The 20,062-nt window shown below is 38.8% G+C and overlaps 1 protein-coding gene across 12 annotated transcripts in view; it reads left to right on the top strand.

Moving 5' to 3' along the window:
- Window positions 1–20,062, top strand: part of TRAPPC8 (trafficking protein particle complex subunit 8) — a 113,932-nt gene that overhangs the window by 14,909 nt on the left and 78,961 nt on the right. For 6 of the 12 annotated variants that reach the window (XM_005258234.4, XM_005258233.4, XM_047437353.1 and 3 more), the window contains exons 3-8: window positions 10,553–10,642; window positions 11,774–11,948; window positions 14,698–14,851; window positions 18,460–18,553; window positions 19,207–19,466; window positions 19,802–19,917. In XM_005258234.4, the coding sequence (XP_005258291.1) occupies window positions 10,553–10,642; window positions 11,774–11,948; window positions 14,698–14,851; window positions 18,460–18,553; window positions 19,207–19,466; window positions 19,802–19,917 (889 nt within the window). Of the gene's footprint in view, window positions 1–10,552; window positions 10,643–11,773; window positions 11,949–14,697; window positions 14,852–18,459; window positions 18,554–18,575; window positions 18,677–19,206; window positions 19,467–19,801; window positions 19,918–20,062 lie in introns of those variants that run through there. The other 6 variants (XM_017025616.3, NM_014939.5, XM_017025615.2 and 3 more) reach the window with 2 other exon arrangements.

Below are 20,062 nucleotides of genomic sequence, written 5' to 3'. Positions count from 1 at the left end.
GCCTATGTATTTTTTATTTTATTTAATTTTAATTTTATTTTATTTTATTTTATTTTATTTTTTTTAGTCGGAGTCTCACTCTTTTGCCCAGGCTGGAGTGTAGTGGCACGATCTTGGCTCACTGCAACCTCTTCCCCCTGGGTTCACACGATTCTTCTGCCCCAGCCTCCTGAGTTTCTGGGACTACAGGTGTGCACCACCACACCCGGCTAATTTTTGTATTTTTAATAAGAGACGGGGTTTCACCATGTTGGCCACGTTTGTCTAAAACTCCTGACCTCAAGTGATCTGCCTGCTTTGGCCTCCCAGAGTGCTGGGATTACAAGCATGAGTGACCAGGTCCACTCATTTGCTATGTTGCCTAGGCTGGTCTCAAACCACTGGCCTCAAGCAGCCACCTCTCAAAGTGCTGAGATGACAGGAATGAGTTCAGATGCTGACCAAAAGTATCTTTTTCATACTGCAAATATTTTGCTAACCTCCAAAGCCCATATACCTGTTACTTTTAATTTATTAAGGCCAGGCATAGTCGCTCAGGCCTCTAATCCCAGCGCTTTGGGAAGCTAAGGTGGGAGGATCACTTGAGGCCAGGAGTTCAAGACCAGCCTGGGTAACATATTGAGACCCCATCTGAAGAAAATTTTTTAAAAAAAATTAGCTGGTAGCTGGGCATGGTGGCTCACGCCTGTAATCCCAGCACTTTGGGAGGCTGAGACGGGTGGATCACTTGAGGTCAGGAATTCCAGACCAGCCTGGCCAACACAGTGAAACCCTGTCTCTACTAAAAATTCAAAAATTAGCCAGCAGCAGGCACCTGTAGTCCCAGCTACTTGGAAGGCTGTGGCAGGAGAATCGCTTGAACCTGGGAGGCAGAGGTTGCAGTCAGCCGAGATCACGCCACTGCACTCCAGCCTGGGCAACAGAGTGAGTCTCAAAAAAAAAAAATTAGTTGGGTGTGGTGGTGTATACCTGTAGTCCCAGCTACTCAGGAGGCTGAGGTGAGAAGATTGCTTGAGCCTGTGAAGTCAAGGGTGCAAAAAGCTGTGATTGCGCAACTGCACTCCAACCTAGGTGACAGAGCAAGACCCTGCCTCAAAAGAAAAATAAATTTATCAAAATGATATGTGTACATAGACAAAATGATAAAAAGACTTAAAGGAAAAAACAACAGTGATCTGTACCTTGCCCCACCAATTTCTGTAGTCTTTTCCTCGGGTATTGATTATGTGCTTCTAAGTAATATTTTTATATGGCTGTCTATGGCGTAATAAGTTTTAAATTTAAATAAGTTTTATTTATTGACTTCTCATTATCATTGATAAGGATTTGGCTTAATTACTGTCTATCCTTTCCACTCCATCTCATAGTTTTTGGTTAATATTCACTGCTTATAATATGACTAAATGTCATTCACTTCTTCACTGCTTAGCCAATTATTGGGCTTTCTGATACAGTATTTTGTGTTTTCAGGAGTTAGTAATTGTCTTTTTAAAAACATCTTGTGGTGGCTCACGCCTGTAATCCCAGCACTTTGGGAGGCTGAATCACCTGAGGTCAGGAGTTCAAGACCAGCCTGACTAAAATGGTGAAACCCTGTTTCTACTAAAAATACAGAAAATCAGCTGGGCGTGGTGGCACACTCCTGTAATCCCAGCTGCTTGAGGCGGAGGTTGCAGTAAGCCGAGATCCCACCGTTGCACTCCAGCTTGGACAACAAGAGCGAAACTCTGTCTCAAAAAAAAAAAAACCAAAACAAAACATCTTGCTCAGTTCTTTGTGTCTGTTGCTAGTTTCTCAGACTTCTTCAACTGTATTTTCTACTCGAGAGATTAATTTGTCAAATAACCCATTTATCAATGGCTCCTTCAAGAAATCTCTATTGTTACTGCATATATTCTCATTAAGGATGATATTCCTATGTGGTAAAAATTGGTCCTTGGGGGACAAAAAAATCTTAGCTATTACAGTGGTCTGTGGCTCTCCAAAGGGTCTCCATGCATAAATAGATACACAATACAATTGTGGTGTTATTTTAAAAAATACTTTAATCGGGGGAAAGGATTGATTAGAAAAAAGCTGTAAAACACAGAGAATATAATGAAATAAAAGCTGGGAAATGGTGTTCAATTTTATGTCGGACTGGTTGCTGTCCGAGGCCCACTCCACAGCTGTCATCCTGAGGATTTCCTTCCCTTCACTTCTCTGTAGTATTTCATTTATATATATTTTGTGTGTATTTCCTTAGTATGGTGAAGGACATCTCTAGTAGCTTCCTGAGAAAGGGTGCATGGAAAATAAAATTTTTGAGGAATGAATGTTGGAAAATGTTCTTATTTTATATACTTGATTGATGGTTTGACTGTGTACATTGTTAGTTATAAATCATTTCCCTCAGAATTGATCCACTTTCTTTTAGCTTCAAGCATTGCTCTTAAAAAAGCTAGAAGCCATTATATGTATTACCCCCAGCCCTCCAGCTGTTAGAAGTTTTTGAAGGTCTTCATCCCTGCTATTTTGAAATTTCACGTTGGGGTTTATAACTCCTTTTTCACTTATTTTACTGAGTAGCTTCTTTTGACAGTCTGGTTATGCACTTTTTAGCCCTGAGAAACTGTCTTGTATTCTTTCTTTGTTAATTTCTCCCTTATTGTTCTCTCTGTTCTTTCTGAAACTACTGTTAGTTGGATGTAGAACTTCCTGAGTTGATCCTCTAATGTTCTTTTTTTCTAAAATTGTCTATCTCTGTCTTTTTATTTTTCTGGGTGTGAATATCCTTGACTTTATCTTCTGATCCTTCTATTGAAGTTTTAATGTTTGGTGTCTTTTTGGGGTTTTTTTGGAGCTATTTTCTTCTCTAGATTTTCCTTTATTGTGACATGCTATTAAGGTTTTATGTTATAGTGTCTTAACTCTGAAGATAGTAATAAATTGTTGTTGGCTGTTTTTTTAAGTTTTCTTCTATCCTGTGCCTTTTTTTTTCATTCGTATTATTTTTATTTGTTTTGATTTTTTTCATGTTGGACACTTACCTCAAATCTTTGGTTAGACCAGGCATTATTTTCTATTTCAAATTGAGGCATTAAAACCCTGACTGAGTATAAGAAAGCTTATCAGTTAGTAGACTTCTTTATTGGGTGGTAAGGCTAAGAATAGGTTTAAGGGTTGCCCAATTTTTATTACTTATAGTTTTTTTCTTTGAGGCCATTTAGTTTATCCAGAGAAGGATTCTGAAATCTGCTCTCTGGCTGTGTCCTGGGCCTTTTTTTTCTATTAAAGTGGTTTGGCAGATCATTTATAGGAACATAGTTATGATTTGGTTGTGGGAAATTGTTTTATCTAATTATATTACTTGCATTCTCAGATCCCTGCCAACATCTCCTCATACGGGAGGATTGATTGCTATTTGCATTTAAAAGCAGGTGGAGGCAATTACTATAGCTTAACTCTTCAGGCGGATTTTTTTTTTTTTTTTTTTTTTTTTGAGACGGAGTTTCGCTGTTGTTGCCCAGGCTGGAGTGCAGTGGTGCGATCTTGGCTCACTGCAACCTCCACGTCCCGGGTTCAAGCGATTCTCCTGCTTCAGGCAGATTTAAAAAAATTAGTATTATTAGTTGTATATTTAGTGGAGACAGAGTTTCATGATGTTGGCCAGGCTGGTCTTGAACTCCTGGACTCAAGTGATCCACCTGCCTTGGCCTCCCAAAGTGCTGGGATTACAGGTGTGAGCCACCACTCCTGGCCATTTTTTTTTTTTTTTCGGTGGGGAGGGATGGAGTCTTGCTCTTTCGCCCAGGCTGGAGTGCACTAGCGCGATCTTGGCTCACTGCAACCTCTGCCTCCTAGTTCAAGCAGTTCTCCCTACCTCAGCCTCCCAAGTAGCTAGGATTACAGGCGCCCACCACGACGCCCAACTAATTTTTGTATTTTTTTTTTTGAGACGGATTCTTGCTCTTGTTGCCCAGGCTGGAGTGCAATGGCGCGACCTCGGCTCACTGCAACCTCTGCCTCCCAAGTTCAAGCAATTCTCCTGCCTCAGCCTCCCAAGTAGCTGGGATTACAGGCACCCGCCACCACGCCTGGCTAATTTTTTGTATTTTTAGTAGAGATGAGGTTTCACCACGTTGGCCAGGCTGGTCTCAAACTCCTGACATCAGGTGATCCACCCACCTCAGCCTCCTAAAGTGCTGGGATTATAGGCATGAGCCACCACGCCTGGCTAATTTTTGTATTTTTTTAGTAGAGGCAGAGTTTTGCCATGTTGGCCAGGCTTGTCTTGAACTCCTGACCTCAGGTGATCCTCCTGCCTTGGCCTCCCAAAGTGCTGGGATTACAGGCATGAGCCACCACACCCGGCCTTATTATTTTTAGAACTAGAGATAGGGTCTCACTAAGTTGCCCAGAGTGGTCTCGAACTCCTGGGCTTAAGTAGGATTAAACTACACACCAGAAGAAAACAGTTTTTTTTTTTTTTAGCTTCTTTCCCTTTTACTGAAAGGCACCTCCTTTCAGCTTTATTTTTATGTTGGCCATGAAGACTGAGAATGAGATACGATGAAGTACTACGTTAATTTTAGTAAAATTTCATTAAACAGAATAATACTCTTTGGAGATCATAGAAAAGTGATTTTATCCATTTTAATAAGGTATTAATTCTTATATATTCAGATGTATGCTTCTAATTTTCACCATTAATGTGAGTCAGCATACTTTTCATTCATTCTGTTAAAGAAATAGATGTTAGATATTTACCTCATAAGCTTAACAGTGCCGTGTTTTCTTCAGATCGGTCATTTAAAGCTGCTATTCCTTGGTACAGTAATTGGAAAGACACATTGATGGAGTTGAAAGTCTGTTATATACAGGGATTTCTTGTGATGGTTTCAGTTTTCTAGATTTTTCTCACCTACTTCGTTTCTGTTGTCTTTTTTTCCCCACTTAGGTACTGTTTTGTATTTTTCCCAATTGACATGTCTAATTTTTCTAAAATGAGGAAGGTCTAATGTATCTATTTTTTTCAACTTTTGTTATCTATTTTATCATCCATTATCCTGTTTACTCTTACAGCATTATGTGTTAAATCCAAGCATAGTCTTTGAATGGTATATTTTGGGCTGCATCTTATTTTAAAAGGAAGGAAGACCATATTACCCTTCCTTACCAGGTAAAACAGTACATTCTGCATGTTTTTGTTTTGTTTTGTTTTGAGGCAGGGTCTCATTATGTCACCCATGCTGGAGTTCAGTGGCTCTCTCTTGGCTTACTGCAACCTCTGCCTCCTGGGCTCAAGCGATCCTCCTACCTCAGCCTCCCGAGTAGCGGGGACTACAGGTGTGGGCTACCATGCCCGGTTAATTTTGCATTTTTTGTAGAGATGAGGTTTTCTCATGTTGCCCAGGCTGGTCTCGAACTCCTGGGCTCAAGTGATCAGCCTGCCTCGGCCTCCCAAAGTGCTGGGATTACAGGCGTGAGCCACTGAACATGGCCAGAAAACTTTAGTAGGAAAACATGGTTGCTATTTCAATTCCAAAGAAAGAACATGTAGAGATGGAAAGGGATATGAGGAAAATAGTGATTTTTATCCCAAGATAAGTCCAAGAAAATTTTTTGTTTTTTGTTTGTTCGTTTTGAGACAGGGTCTTGCTCTGTCGCTGCCCAGGCTGGAGTGCAGTGGCACCATCTTGGCTCACTGCAGCTTTGACCTCCTGGGTTCAAGCGATCTTCCCACCTCAGCCTCTCGAGTAGCCAGCGCTACAGCCTCATGTCCCACTCCCGACTAATTTTTGTACTTTTTGTAGAGACAGGGTTTGCTATGTTTCCCAGGCTGGTCTCCAACTCCTGGGCTCAAGTGATCCCTCCACCTCAGCCTCCCAAAGTGCTGGGATTACAGGCATGAGCCACCACGCCCAGCCACAAGCTACCAGTTACTACTAGTATTTAGAAAGTTATTGCAATTTAAGAGTATGTCTGTGTATGTCTGTATGTGTATGTATTTTGCTTTTTAATTTATTTTTAATTATGTGTACATTCACATAGTTTCAAACTCAAAATTATATAAAGCAAGATACAGAGAAGGCTTGTCCTCTATTCATGTCCCTTCTTTTTTTTCCCCTCAAACACATAGACCTTACTTTACTTAAAACACAATAAAAATCTAATTACAGTTACTCTTTTAGTACTTTTATGATGAACTTTAAGAAAAAATGACAGTTTTGGGTTACATTCTTCTTTTGTCTTAAAGAGGCAGAAGCACTCATGTAATATAGTTTTCAAAAGATCTTTTGCATAATTAGGGGGAACAACTGATAAATTTGATTTTATTCAATTTTCAGGCAATAAGAAAGTGACATAAACATATTGAATTTCCCCTTCATTTCTTCCTCTAAATATATATATAATTGGATAACCTCATCCTAAGAGTAGAACCCAGATACAAGAAAATCGAAGCGTAATAAATGAAATATGTAATCACATTCCGTTTTCCAGAAGGTGAGATGAGAAAGCTACATTATACATTGCAGAAAGCTCTGAGGTTGACAATGTGGATTAGAGGCTTTTCTGACCAAATCAAATCTCAAAGATAACTTTTTTTTTTTTTTTTTTTGAGACGGAGTCTCGCTCTGTCATCCAGGCTGGAGTAGTACAATGGTGCGATCTTGGCTCACTGCAACCTCCACCTCCCGAGTTCAAGTGATTCTCTTGCCTCAGCCTCCGAGTAGCTGGGATTACAGGCATGTGTCACCCCGCCCACCCAGATAATTTTGTATTTTTAGTAGAGACAGGGTTTCTCCATGTTGGTCAGGCTGGTCTGGAACTCCCCACCTCAGGTAATCCGCCTGCCTCGGCCTCCCAAAGTGTTGGGATTACAGGCGTGAGCCACCGTGCCTGACCTAAAGATCTCTTTATTCACAGCACTTGGTCGATCCCTCTCCTTTCTTATCTCCCTTCTTTCTCTTCTCTCTTGTATAGATAATTAAATGTAGTAGATTTATTCTGTTACTTCTCTTTGAAACTATAAGCAAATATAGGTATGGCTCTTCATATTTTCCTTTTTTTGCACAAAAATGCATACTTTTCTGCTGTCGCTTTTTTCACTTAATATATCTGGAAGAACACTTCATTGTAATATGTAGAGATTTTTCCCCTTTCTTTTACAGCTGCTAATGTATCTTTTTAATGGTTAGGCCATAATTTATTTAACTACACCTCAAGAGAATGCTGGGACTAAAGATGTGCACCACCATGCCCAGCTAATTTTTTTTTTTTTTTTTTTTTTTGAGACGGAGTGTCGCTCTAACACGTTGCCCAGGCTGGAGTGCAGTGGCGTGATCTCGGCTCACTGCAACCTCTGTCTCCTTGGTTCAAGCGATTGTCCTGCCTCAGTCTCCCTAGTAGCTGGGATTACAGGTGGATGCCACGATGCCCAGCTAATTTTTGCATTTTTAGTAGAGACAGCGTTCTACCATGTTGGTCGAGGCTGATTTCGAACTCCTGACGTCAGGTGATCCGCCTGCCTCGGCCTCCCAAAGTGTTGGGATTACAGGTGTGAGCCACTGTGCCTGGCCATTTTTTTGTATTTTTTTTTAGTAGAGATGGGGTTTCACCATGTTGCCTAGCTAGTCTCAAATTCCTGAGCTCAATCGATCTGCCTGCCTCAGCCTCCCAAAGTGCTAGGATTACAGGCATGAGCCACTGCTTCAGTCCTAGTTCCTCTTTTATAAGAATGAACATGAAGCAGCTGGTATTGCATGAACATGAAATTGTTACAGTAGTAACTCTTCTAATTAGACTATGTAGGATATATGGGTCATTCTCATGAGACATCTGTTGTCCATCATGAACTGTTGTTCATCAGTTTTCTCCTGATGAGCGCGTTGTGTTTTCTAGTCTTTCAATGTCATTACAGATAGTGTTGCTAAGAAGAGCTATTTTGGAAAATCTGCTTTGTTCAGAACTTTCCACCTCCACCATGAAACAAACCCAATTTCATATGACTATAATTTATCTGTCATTTGTTTAATTCAGGAAACATTGAAGCAACAAAGTAAATAGAAAAAATAATTTTAAAAGGTGGAGATAGTAATTTCCTTGTATATGTGGAGATCCCTTTCTATTTAACGATAATTTTCATTATGTATTTCTTATTTTCTTATCATTGGTACTACATATGCATTAGATTTCCAGGTAGACTTACTTTGACTGAGTTGGGGAGAAGGGTAGGTGTTCGTGGTGGGTGACAAGATTAGTTTCCTATTTGTGTGTTTCATTTATTCTCCAATTTTTGCCTTTTTTTAAAATGTAGATTGTAATGTTTTCTGGGAATGTTTTCCTCTTTTATTTTTATTTTATTTTATATTTTTTGAGACAGGGTCTCACTCCTGTCGCCCAGGCTGGAGTGCAGTGGCACATTCTCATCTAACTGCAGCCTTGACTTCCTGGGCTCAGGTGATCCTCCCACCTCAGCCTCTCGAGTAGCTGGGACTACAGGCATGCATCACAATACCTGGCTAATTTTTTGTATTTCTTTTAGTAGAGATGGGGTTTCGCCATGTATCCCAGGCTGGTCTCAAACTCCTGGGCTCAAGCAGTCCACTCACCTCAGCCTCCCAAAGTGTTAGGATTATTATTATTTTATTTATTTATTTATTTATTTATTTATTTATTTATTTATTTATTTATTTATTTATTTTGAGACTGAGTCTCACTCTATTGCCCAGGCTGGAGTACAGTGACGCCATCTCAGCTCACAGCAACCTCCACCTCCTGGGTTCAAGTGATTCTCCTGCCTCAGCCCCCCGAATAGCTGGGATTGCACAAGGGCGCCACCATGCCTGGCTAATTTTTGTATTTTTAGTAGAGATGGGGTTTCACCATGTTGGCTAGGCTGGTCTCGAACTCCTGACCTTAAGTGATCCGCCTGCCTTGACCTCCCAAAGTGCTGGGACTACAGGCGTGAGCCACCGCACCCAGCCTCCAAAGTGTTAGGATTATAGGTGTGAAACGCCATGCCCTGCCCATTTCCTCTTTTATAACGATGAACATGAAATCGTGATAGTAGTTGCTCTCCTAATCAGACTATATGTAATATATGGGTCATTCTCATGAGGCATTTGCTGGAGTTAAAATATCTGTATATTTGGCACCAGGTTAGAATGCTATTTGGTTAAGATGAATGGCTTTGTCCTCAGCCCTTCCAGTTGTTTAATATAGTATTATAATATAAGCAGAAAGAATATATTTGCTGTTTTCAGTGGTTAAGATGAAAGCAAAAGGAATATAAGATTTGATATATCAGCATAAATCAGCATTGGAATGGAGTCCTTTTAGTAAAACTGTGATATAGATAATCTGCTTAAAACCTAGTGAAACCACTAAGTTTTACGTAAGTTCAAATAAAAAGAATAATTGTGATACAAAATACTTGATGTGGAACAAGAGAGAGTTGACTTTTTAAGAATCACATTATATACATTTATACAAACAATGAAAATACACTTGTTTGTATTTGATTGTAAGGTAAATGTACTTCGAAATTTCATTTAAGAGGCTTTGTTACTGTCATATTCAAGTAATCAAATTACAAAGTAAGATTTACCAGCCATATCACCATTTACATTTTGAACTAGATAATTCTTTATTGTGGGGGCTGTCTTGTCTTGTCTTGTCTTGTGAGATGTTTTGCATTATTCCTGACCTCTTTGATGCCAGTAGCATAAGCCACCTACCCCAGAACTGATAACGAAAAATATCTTGAGACGTTGCCAGATGTTTCCTGGGGGTCAAAATCATGCTCAGTTGAGAACCTCTATGCTAAGTGTTATTTTTGAAAAAGATCTACTTATGGCAGTGTGACTAGTGGCAGGGTCACAGAACTTGAGTTCTAAAGAAATAATCTTTTTACTCATGTAGGTAATATTTAGAGCATTAATAGGTAAGTAGGTTGTGGGAACACTAGGTTTGGGAATAATTCAATTTTATTTTTGCAAATATATATACTCATGAATATATGAATATATTCTTGTGTGAATATATTCTTGTGAATGGCTTAAAAGGTGTGTGTACATATATACTCAGTTTATTATTATTATTATTATTTTGAGACGGAGTCTCATTCTGTCACCCAGGCTGGAGTGCAGTGGTGTGATTTCAGCTCACTTCAACCCCCACCTCCCGGGTTCAAGCAGTTCTACTGCCTCAGCCTGCTGAGTAGCTGGGATTACAGTCACGTGCCACCATGCCCGGCTAATTTTTGTATTTTTAGTAGAGACACGAGGTTTTGCCATGTTGACCAGGCTGGTCTCGAACTCCTGACCTCATGTGATCCACCCACCTTGGCCTCCCAAAGTGCTGGGATTACAGGCCTGAGCCACCGTGCCAGGCCCTATACACATTTTATATATACACACATGTACATCTGAAAGCACAGGTGAAAAATGCTTGTTTACTGTTAGAAATTTTTTTTTTATACCTTTTAGGAATATGGACTTGAAATTTTGTCTGTTGTAAACTGATTCTATTGAATACTTTTAACTGTTTTGTATATTGTTAATTTTAGCCACTACTCCATGGTTTGAGTCTTACAGAGAAACCTTTCTTCAGTCGATGCCAGCATTGGATCATGAATTTCTGAACCACTATTTAGCATGTATCCTTTGACATTTATGTTCTCCTCAAATCAAATATTATGGAAGTTATTAATCTCAGAAATAGTTAATGAAGGCAAAATTGTTGAAGATACAGAGAATAGATAAATTATTTTTTATAGATTGACAATACACGGAGTCTTGTTATTTTGTTAAATGGCCTCCTAGATACAGGACTGCTATAACAATTTTTTAATCAATTTGGTTTTTGATTATAAAATAAGACTACAGAGGGCTTGCTTATTTTTCTTTAGCCCCCTAGCTTGAATATTTCATGCTTAATAACTTTTTTAGCCATTTTAGAAAGAAAATCTAAACAATGTTAACTGCTTTTGCTGATTGCCTCAGAATTGACTGCTTATCCTAAGACTCATGAAAAATAATTTTGGATATTTTTAGTAATTTTTTAATGGGTATTTTTTTATGATTGTGGCTTAGTTTTCTTAATGCGGTTACTGACGAAAGTTAAGAGGTAGGATGAAATTTGTAACTGCAGTGAGATAGAGTGGAGAGAAGCAAGATGCAGCAGAATTCATTTCTGTTGAAGTTGTACAGTTGTCCATTTTTATTTTTATGAGTTTCCTTGTTACATATATATTAATGGCCGAAAAAACTGTCAACAAAAAAAATCTGTTAGAATTATCTGGAGTATTGAATTATTTGGAGTGTTGGAGAAATTATTTTGTGCTTGCAATTAAAACCAATGAAATTGGATTTTTTTTTTTTTTTTTTTGCTGTGAAAATACCGCTGGGCACGGTGGCTCATGCCTATAATCCTAGCACTTTGGGAGGCTGAGGCGGGCGGGTTACCTGAGGTCAGGAGTTCAAGACCAGCCTGGCCAACATGGTGAAACCCCGTCTTTACAAAAAATATAAAAAATTAGCTGGGTGCAGTGGCTTGCGCCTATAATCCCAGCTACTCTGGAGGCTGAGGCAGGAGAATCACTTGAACCTGGGAGGCGGAGGTTGTGTTGAGTCGAGATCACGCCACTGCTCTCCAGCCTGGGCTACAGAGTGAGACTTTGTCTCAGAAACAAACAAACAAACAAACAAAAACCTCCTGTTTATCTCAGTAGGACAATATTTATCATTGAGTAATAAGCGATAATTACCTTAATAATATGGTTTACAAGGTATGTTGGTAGCGTCATCTAGTGAAGCTGAACCTGTGGAACAGTTTTCAAAGTTGTCACAAGAACAGCATCGAATTCAGCACAACAGTGATTATTCCTACCCCAAGTGGTTTATACCAAATACACTTAAATACTATGTACTTTTACATGATGTAAGTGCAGGAGATGAACAGAGGTAAGTTTTTATTTTAGTTTTAAATTTTTTCCAGTTAAATGATTTAACATTAATTTGGAGATAGCTTGTTTACGTTTTGGATTTATTTTTGATACAAGAATGTAAAAGTTTAATGTGAATTTTATTAATAAAGCATTTAACTTTATGTTTTATCCTGGCATTATATTCAACAGTCAAGTTATTTTATGTTAGATTTCTTTTTTTTTTTTTTTTTTGAGACGAGGTCTTGCCCTGTCACCCAGGCTGGAGTGCAGTGGCACGATCTTGGCTCACTGCAACCTCCGCCTCCTGGGTTCAAGCAATTCTCCTGCCTCAGCCTCCTGAGTAGCTGGAATTACAGGTGCCCGCCACCATGCCCAGCTAATTTTTTTTTTTTTTTTTTTCTGAGATGGAGTCTCACTCTGTCGCCCAGGCTGGAGTGCAGTGGCACGATCTCAGCTCACTGCAAGCTCCGCTTCCTGGGTTCACGCCATTCTCCTGCCTCAGCCTCCTGAGTAGCTGGGACTACAGGCGCCCGCCACTGCACCTGGCTAATTTTTTGTATTTTTTTTAGTAGAGACGGGGTTTCACCATGGTCTCGATCTCCTGACCTCGTGATCCGCCTGCCTGGGCCTCTCAAAGTGCTGGGATTACAGGCGTGAGCCACCACGCCCGGCTTCATTTTTGTATTTTTAGTAGAGATAGGGTTTCACCATATTGTCCAGGCTGGTCTTGAACTCTTGACCTCAGTAATCTGCCCGCCTCGGCCTCCCAAGGTGCTGGGATGACAGGCGGGAGCCACTGCGCCTGCGCCCCCCCCCCCTTTTTTTTTGATGGGGTTTCACTTTGTCACCTAGGCTGTAGTGCAGTGGCACGATCTTGGCTCACTGCAGCCTCTGTGCTTCCTGAGTTCCAGCGATTCTCCTGCCTCAGCCTCCCGGGTAGCTGGGATTACAGGCACATGACACTACGCCCGGCTAATTTTTGTATTTTTAGTAGAGATAGGGTTTCACCACGTAGGCCAGGCTGCTCTGGAACTCAGGTGATCTGCCCGCCTTGGCCTCCCAAAGTGGTAGGATTACAGGCGTGAGCCACCTCGCCTGGCCTTATGTTAGATTTCATATGCTTACCCAAACTTTCTTTTTAATGTATAATTGTTATACAGTCTGTACAAAAACACTTGTCATTTCACAACTGTAGATCATAGCTGTTATTTCTGGTTTTATATAAAATTATTTCTCTTTCTTTGTTCTTTTCTGCTTCCCAGTTTTCCTCTCACTTTTCATGGCCTGACTTGCTTACAGGCACTTTTTCCACTGTCCACTCTCTTGTGACTTCATATTTATAGCCTTGATATTTTTCATAGCCTTAGAAATATTCAAACTTTTTTTAATGTTCCCTTTAATATTCATGATTTGTTGTTTGCAGTAGTCCTTTTGTATTTGGGATATGTGAATAGATTGTCTTTAAAAATAAATTCTTGAAAAATAGGATAAACGCAGTAATTTTACTTGCATGGCTTTGGAGCTTATTTTGGCTTTTGGTGCAAGGTGTGGAGCAGATTAATGTTTTGTTTGAAACTATTCTGATGCCTTAGTGCCACTGAGGAAATGTAGTTTAATAATCATTACCCGCCTTGTCCTGAGCATGGACCACCATCTTTTTATTAAATTTTCCTCTGCAGATCCAGTTAATTACTCTGAAGATTACTAATCTTTAGGATATTTTGAAATGTCTGTAGCCCGTTGGATAAGGTGTACTACTATATTAATAGAAAAAATTTGAAATGACTATTAGAATTAGTTTCTGTCAGTTCAATTTGGAGTGTGTCTTCCGTATTGAATGGTTGTAACTAGGATATTTAAGGTAGTAATTCAAGTATCAGATGAATGGTTCTTAGGTTTAGCAGTATCATTAGTAACGTGAGCAGGAGTTTGCTTTATTGTCCTTCAGTGTGTGTACACACACATGCATCTGCATTTATACAAATTTTCTATAACTATTTTACTTATCCAGCCATAATTTTTTAGTGCGTAATATCATTTTGTTGTTTGCTAGGCTTGTTGCTTACATAGTATTAGTATTTACATTTGAATGTGGTTAGTTTTCCAGGTTGTTTTTTTTTTTTTCTTGTTTTTCCTCCTTTTTTTTTTTTTTTTTGAGATGGGGGTCTCACTCTGTTGCCTAGGCTAGAGTGCAGTGCCTGGGCTCAAGCAGTCTTCCCACCTCAGCCTCCTGGGCAGCTGGGACCACAGGTGTGTGCCACCATTTTTGGTTAATTTTAATTTTGATAGAGATAGGGTTTCCCTATGTTGCCTAGGATGGTCTCTAACTCCTGACTTGAAGTGATCTTCCCACCTTGGCCTTCCAAAGTGCTGGGATTATGGCCACCACGCTGAGTCAAAACACTTGTTTTGTTTCCTGTAGTTCCCCCCGCAATCTAGTTTGACCACCAGAGCTCTCTCTTTGAATAACGTAGAGGAGTGTCTTGCAGAATTTTATTCCACGGAACACACTTTGGTAACTGCTTTAAGGTGGTATCTAAGCTAGCTAAATTTCAATTGCCATCATGATTTTTGTTTTCGCTTTTAGGTTATTCTGTCCTAATTTTCTAGAAGGATAATTCTTATGTCCTCTTTTATATTTTTCCAGTCTAAATATGCCTTTTTGGGGGATTATTTTAATGTTATTTTTGTACTACTTTAGTCTCTATTATTGCCTAAGGCCTGCTCCTCTTTTACTTCAGATTTTTTTCCATTTTCTGTTTTAGAGCTGAATCAATTTATGAAGAAATGAAACAGAAATATGGAACTCAGGGTTGCTATTTACTTAAAATTAATTCTCGAACATCTAATCGAGCATCAGATGAACAGATACCAGATCCTTGGAGTCAGTATCTCCAGAAAAATAGTATTCAAAACCAGGTATATGTAAAAAATAAATGAAGCAAACCACAAAAACGATACTTCAGTTTTTACGTTTTGGTTTAACTAGTATAATTATTCATATTAATTGTGTGGAATCTGGTCAGTTTTGATCTGTCAGAGGTGAGCTCTTAGGTCAGTGGTTTAAAAGCTGTTTTTAACTAACTGCAGTAATCCCTTATGTGCACTCTTTTCAGGTGTGTACTATCAGTGTGAATTAATCATTTTCTTTTTTTTTTTTGAGACAGAGTCTTGCTCTGTCGCCCAGGCTGGAGTGCAGTGGTGTGATCTCAGCTCACTGCAACCTCCGCCTCTCAGGTTTAAGTGATTCCCCTGCCTCAGCCTCCCAAGTACATGGGATTACAGGCACATGCCACCATGCCAGGCAAATTTTTGTATTTTTAGTAGAGGTGAGGTTTCACCATATTGGCCAGGCTAGTCTTGAACTCCTGACCTCAAGTGATCTGCCCACCTTAACTTCCCAAAGTGTTAGGGTTACAGGTGTGAGCCACCGCGCCTGGACTGATCTCTTTCTTAAAAGATTAAAAGTGAATTACACGTTAAGAATTGAGTTAGATAGGCTAGACGTGCAGAATGGAATTTCTGACTTGTCTGTTTAATTCATTATGAATGCCTACAGTCAATTCTTTATTATCTACATGCTCTGGGGTTGCTCCCTACATTTTTCTTTTTCTTTTCTTTTTTTTTGAAACAGAGTGTTGCTCTGTCGCCAAGGCTGGAGTGCAGTGGCACAATCTCAGCTCACTGCAGCCTCCACCTCCTGGGTTCAAGCAATTCTCCTGTCTCAGCCTCCTGAGTAACTGGGATTACAGGCGTCCACCACCTACCACCATGCCCGGCTAATTTTTTTTTTGGAGACAAAGAGTCTCGCTCTGTTGCCCAGGCTGGGGTGCAATGGCGCGATCTTGGCTCACTGCAACCCTCCACTTCCCATGTTCAAGCAGTTCTCCTCTCTCAGCCTCCCAAGTAGGTGGGACTACAGGCGCACACCACCACGCCCAGCTAATTTTTGTATTTTTAGCAGAGAGAGGGTTTCACCATATTGGTCAGGCTGGTCTCGAACTCTTGACCTCAGGTGATCTGTCCGCCTCAGACTCCAAAAGTGCTAGGATTATAGGCATGAGCCATCATGCCCAGCCTCTTTCGTACCTTTTTAACATGCTTTTATAGCCACCTTCAGGAACTCATACTTTTTAGGTGGGTGGGCATTTCCCTCCAACTTTCCGTTGATTTCCCTTCTTTATGTACTCTCAGGAGTTACTGTTTTTTAATTACTCCTTTCTTAACCTCGAGTTCTAGAATAAGATTGATTGTCCTATTGGCTTAAGTTGATGGGCGTTTGATGTTTTGTCAGACTTCTAAGGTACAATAGTATGCCGCTTGGTAGTAGTCAAATGCCAAGTTCCTATGCTTAGTTCAGATAATCGAGAGTCACTGTTTTTTGTTTAGAAGAAAATTTTTTTTTTTTTTTTTTTTGAGACAGGATCTCGCTCTGTCGCCCAGGCCTTGGTCTCCCAAAGTGCTGGGATTACAGGTGTGAGCCATCATGCCGGCCTAGAAGAAATTCTTTTTTTTTTTTTTTTTTTTTTTTGAGACGGAGTCTTACTCTATCGCCCAGGCCGGAGTGCAGTGGCATGATCTCGGCTCACTGCATGATCTCGGCTCACTGCAACAGCTGCCTCCTGGATTCAAATTATTCTCATGCCTCAGCTTCCCGAGTAGCTGGGATTACAGGCGCCCGCCACCACGCCTGGCTAATTTTTGTATTTTTAGTAGAGATGGGGTTTCACCATGTTGTCCAGACTGGTCTCGAACTCCTGACCTCAAGTTATCCCCCTGCCTCAGCCTCCCAAAGTGCTGAGCCACCACACCCGGCCAGAAATTTTTTTTTTTTTTTGAGACGGAGTCTCACTCTGTTGCCCAGGCTGGAGTGAAGTGGCGAGATCTCGGCTCACTGCAACCTCCACCTCCTGGGTTCAAGCGATTCATTTTTAGTCGAGACAGGGTTTCACCCTGTTGGCTAGGCTGGTCTTGAACTCCTGACCTCAAGTGATCCACACGCCTCAGCCTCCCAGAGTGTTGATATTACAGGCGTAAGCCACAGCGCCTGGCCTAGAAATTCTTAAGTAAATGGAAAATATATTTATATTGTTCAATTAAACTATATTATGCACTCTGTGTGTGACATTTAAAAAATCAATTACAAAGCTTATGTAATTTTTGATCTTCTGATATAAGTATTGTTTAATCTGTTTATTTGCTTTATTTTTCTGTCTCATAAATGGAATCTTTAAATCTAAATGTAGTGCTATCATGGTATTTTACTGACTTTAGTATTGAGGTGATTACTGACGTTCTTTAAGATAATGCTGGGGAAAAGCAAAGAAGTACCAGTTGGATGTGAAGGAACTTTATTTTTAAAAATGGTCTTTTAGGGGCCATTCTAAGAATAAGAACAGTACTGAAAAAAATACACTTTAGAGTTCAGTCACCTAAGGTTGTGAAGGGGAACATGAAGAAGATTGTGCAGTATGAGAACTTTTAGCAGAAAGCAGAAATATCAGAAATCTATGCCTTAGCATCCTAGAAGCTCAAAGTTGGAGAATAGTTTAGAGGTTTTACATCCAATGCTTGATCTAATGCTTTAATTTCTTTAAACTTACGAATGACTGCGTCTGTTGACAGTACTCACTGTATTCTTATTAAGTGACCTATTGCATGTCTGATCACCCAAAAATTCTCTCATTTTGCTTAAGGATCAATAAAAAATTCTTGACCTTTGCTTGTACGCTTGATCCTTTGGGAGTGACTATGTTAGTTTTCCATTAAGACAACTTTCAAAATATAGAAGGATAATTCTCATGTCCTCTTTTATATTTTTCCAGTCTAAATATGCCTAGTTTCTGCAACTCTTTCTCAAGGAGTGGCTTCAGACTTTCTTGTCCTGGTCACTTTCTTCTTGAGTTCTAGTTTATGTAAATTCCCTCAAAGTGTGACACTCAGAATAATACATCATATTTACTGGTCTTGTAGAGTAGTCTGGGTATTTTTAGTTTAAGTGTTTTTTTGTTAACTGAGAAACCAGTTCCTTTGCACAAATAAACGTTGCGTTAGATATTTTTCTAAAACACTTCAGTATATTCAGAATTCACTCCAACCTGCTTACACTGTGACCCAAAGAATTTCATATCTGTGCCTCTCTTCTTTCCCCGTCTGACTCTAGTAGTCCATCTCTCTTGCCATTATTCCTTACTTAAGAGGCATAAGCATATGTATGTGCTTATATGAACACTCGTGTATATACATATCATATATAAGTAGATATCCTGAGAGATAATTTGAATTAAGAAGAATTAGGATAGTAGCTTGAGTGTGAAAGGGGATTTAAGAATATAGTAGGTGTGAGTTGGAGTGATAGAATAAGATCCATGGAAGAAGTTATGAATTTGGAGGACGAGAAAATGCTCACTGTAGCAAATAAATGAGGCCAACAGTTAGCAGAGTAACCATAGTTGTTGATGGATTTGATAGTATATTAAGTATGATTAAGTATAACTGCTAATGCTTTTTAAATTTTATTTTGATAGGAATCATATGAAGATGGCCCTTGTACTATAACTTCAAATAAGAATTCTGATAATAACTTGCTTTCATTGGATGGATTAGATAACGAAGTCAAAGGTCTTGATATATTTTCTCTAAGTTTCTCTTTTGATTGAAAATATGCACTGTTGTCAGATCATGCTAACCTTTATAGATAAAAGATGGGGGAAATTTTTCATAATACAGAAAGATATTGGGCAGGTTAGTTTTTCTTCTGAAGATTTTACTGAGCTACTTGAGTTTGTTTTTGACACTTAAAAATTTGTTTTATATGAGTAGTGTATAGATTTCTTTTAAAATATTTTGTAGAAAGCAAGGGAAGATGTGATGCACAGCATTAATTATTTAAAAATTTACATGATTTTGAGAGCTTTATTTCTGACTTTATGATTTTTGTAATGATAACAAATTTTTTTTGTTATATTTTTTCTTACGGCTTAGTTGTACTATTTAAAAGTCATTCTTTATATTATTTAAAATAAAGTATTTTTCTCCATTTCCTGGTTTATACCGATTTTCAAATTACTAATACAGGTACCAAAACAAATATTAACTCAAGCTCATTAATTTTGGGGCTGGGGGATGTTACTGCTGTTTTATCTTAGACATTTACCTATACTGAAAGATAAAGGATTTTAACATTCTGCTTTTTTTTTTTCTTTAGCAGTATGGTAGTATTAGCACTGTTTTCTGTTGCATTCTGAGAGTAAAAGAAATAATCTCTTTTTCAGTAGATGGCTTACCAAATAACTTTAGAGCTCACCCACTTCAGTTGGAGCAATCCAGTGACCCTTCTAACAGTATTGATGGCCCAGATCATCTAAGATCTGCTTCATCGTTACATGAAACAAAGAAAGGAAATACTGGAATAATTCATGGTGCATGTTTAACACTTACTGATCATGATAGAATTCGACAGTTTATACAAGAGTTCACATTTCGGGGCCTTTTGCCACATATAGAGAAAACAATTAGGCAATTAAACGATCAGGTAAGGTTTGATTTTTTGGATTAGTATTTTAAAAATTTAAGTAAATAGTAAATTTAAGAATTATTAAACGTATTTGAAGTTTTGTTTTATTTTCGTTTTAAGATAGGCCAATATTAAGACTTCCCAAAATTACTATCAATGATGAAATTCTGTTCAACTCTAGAAGAGGCTTATTCATTTTCAATAGGATTTTGCCAGCATATTGGACAGTTTTCTTTAAATCAGTTTTATTAAAATGAACATTTGCTATTAAAGCTTTTTAGTTAAAATTTTTTTATGTAAAGGAAAAATACTAAATTCTTTGTTTGTCAACATATTTAATCTCTTTTTTAAAGCTAATATCAAGAAAAGGTTTGAGTCGATCTCTATTTTCTGCAACTAAAAAATGGTTTAGTGGCAGTAAAGTTCCAGAAAAGAGCATTAATGACCTGAAAAATACATCTGGCTTGCTGTGAGTAAAGTGTTATCATTTTTGTTTTTCCTCTGTTTAACTCTCTGACTAGTGTTTGATTGTATATCCTGCAGAAGATAACTATCTCTTTAATTTCTTAGTTTCTTATTGGTGAAAATTCAGGTGGATAAGAAGAGTGACTCAA

Source organism: Homo sapiens, chromosome 18, assembly GCF_000001405.40.
Source record: "Homo sapiens chromosome 18, GRCh38.p14 Primary Assembly".
NCBI lineage: Eukaryota > Metazoa > Chordata > Mammalia > Primates > Hominidae > Homo > Homo sapiens.
Note: the sequence above shows the minus strand (reverse complement) of the source record. Positions and strands in the feature narration are given on the sequence as shown.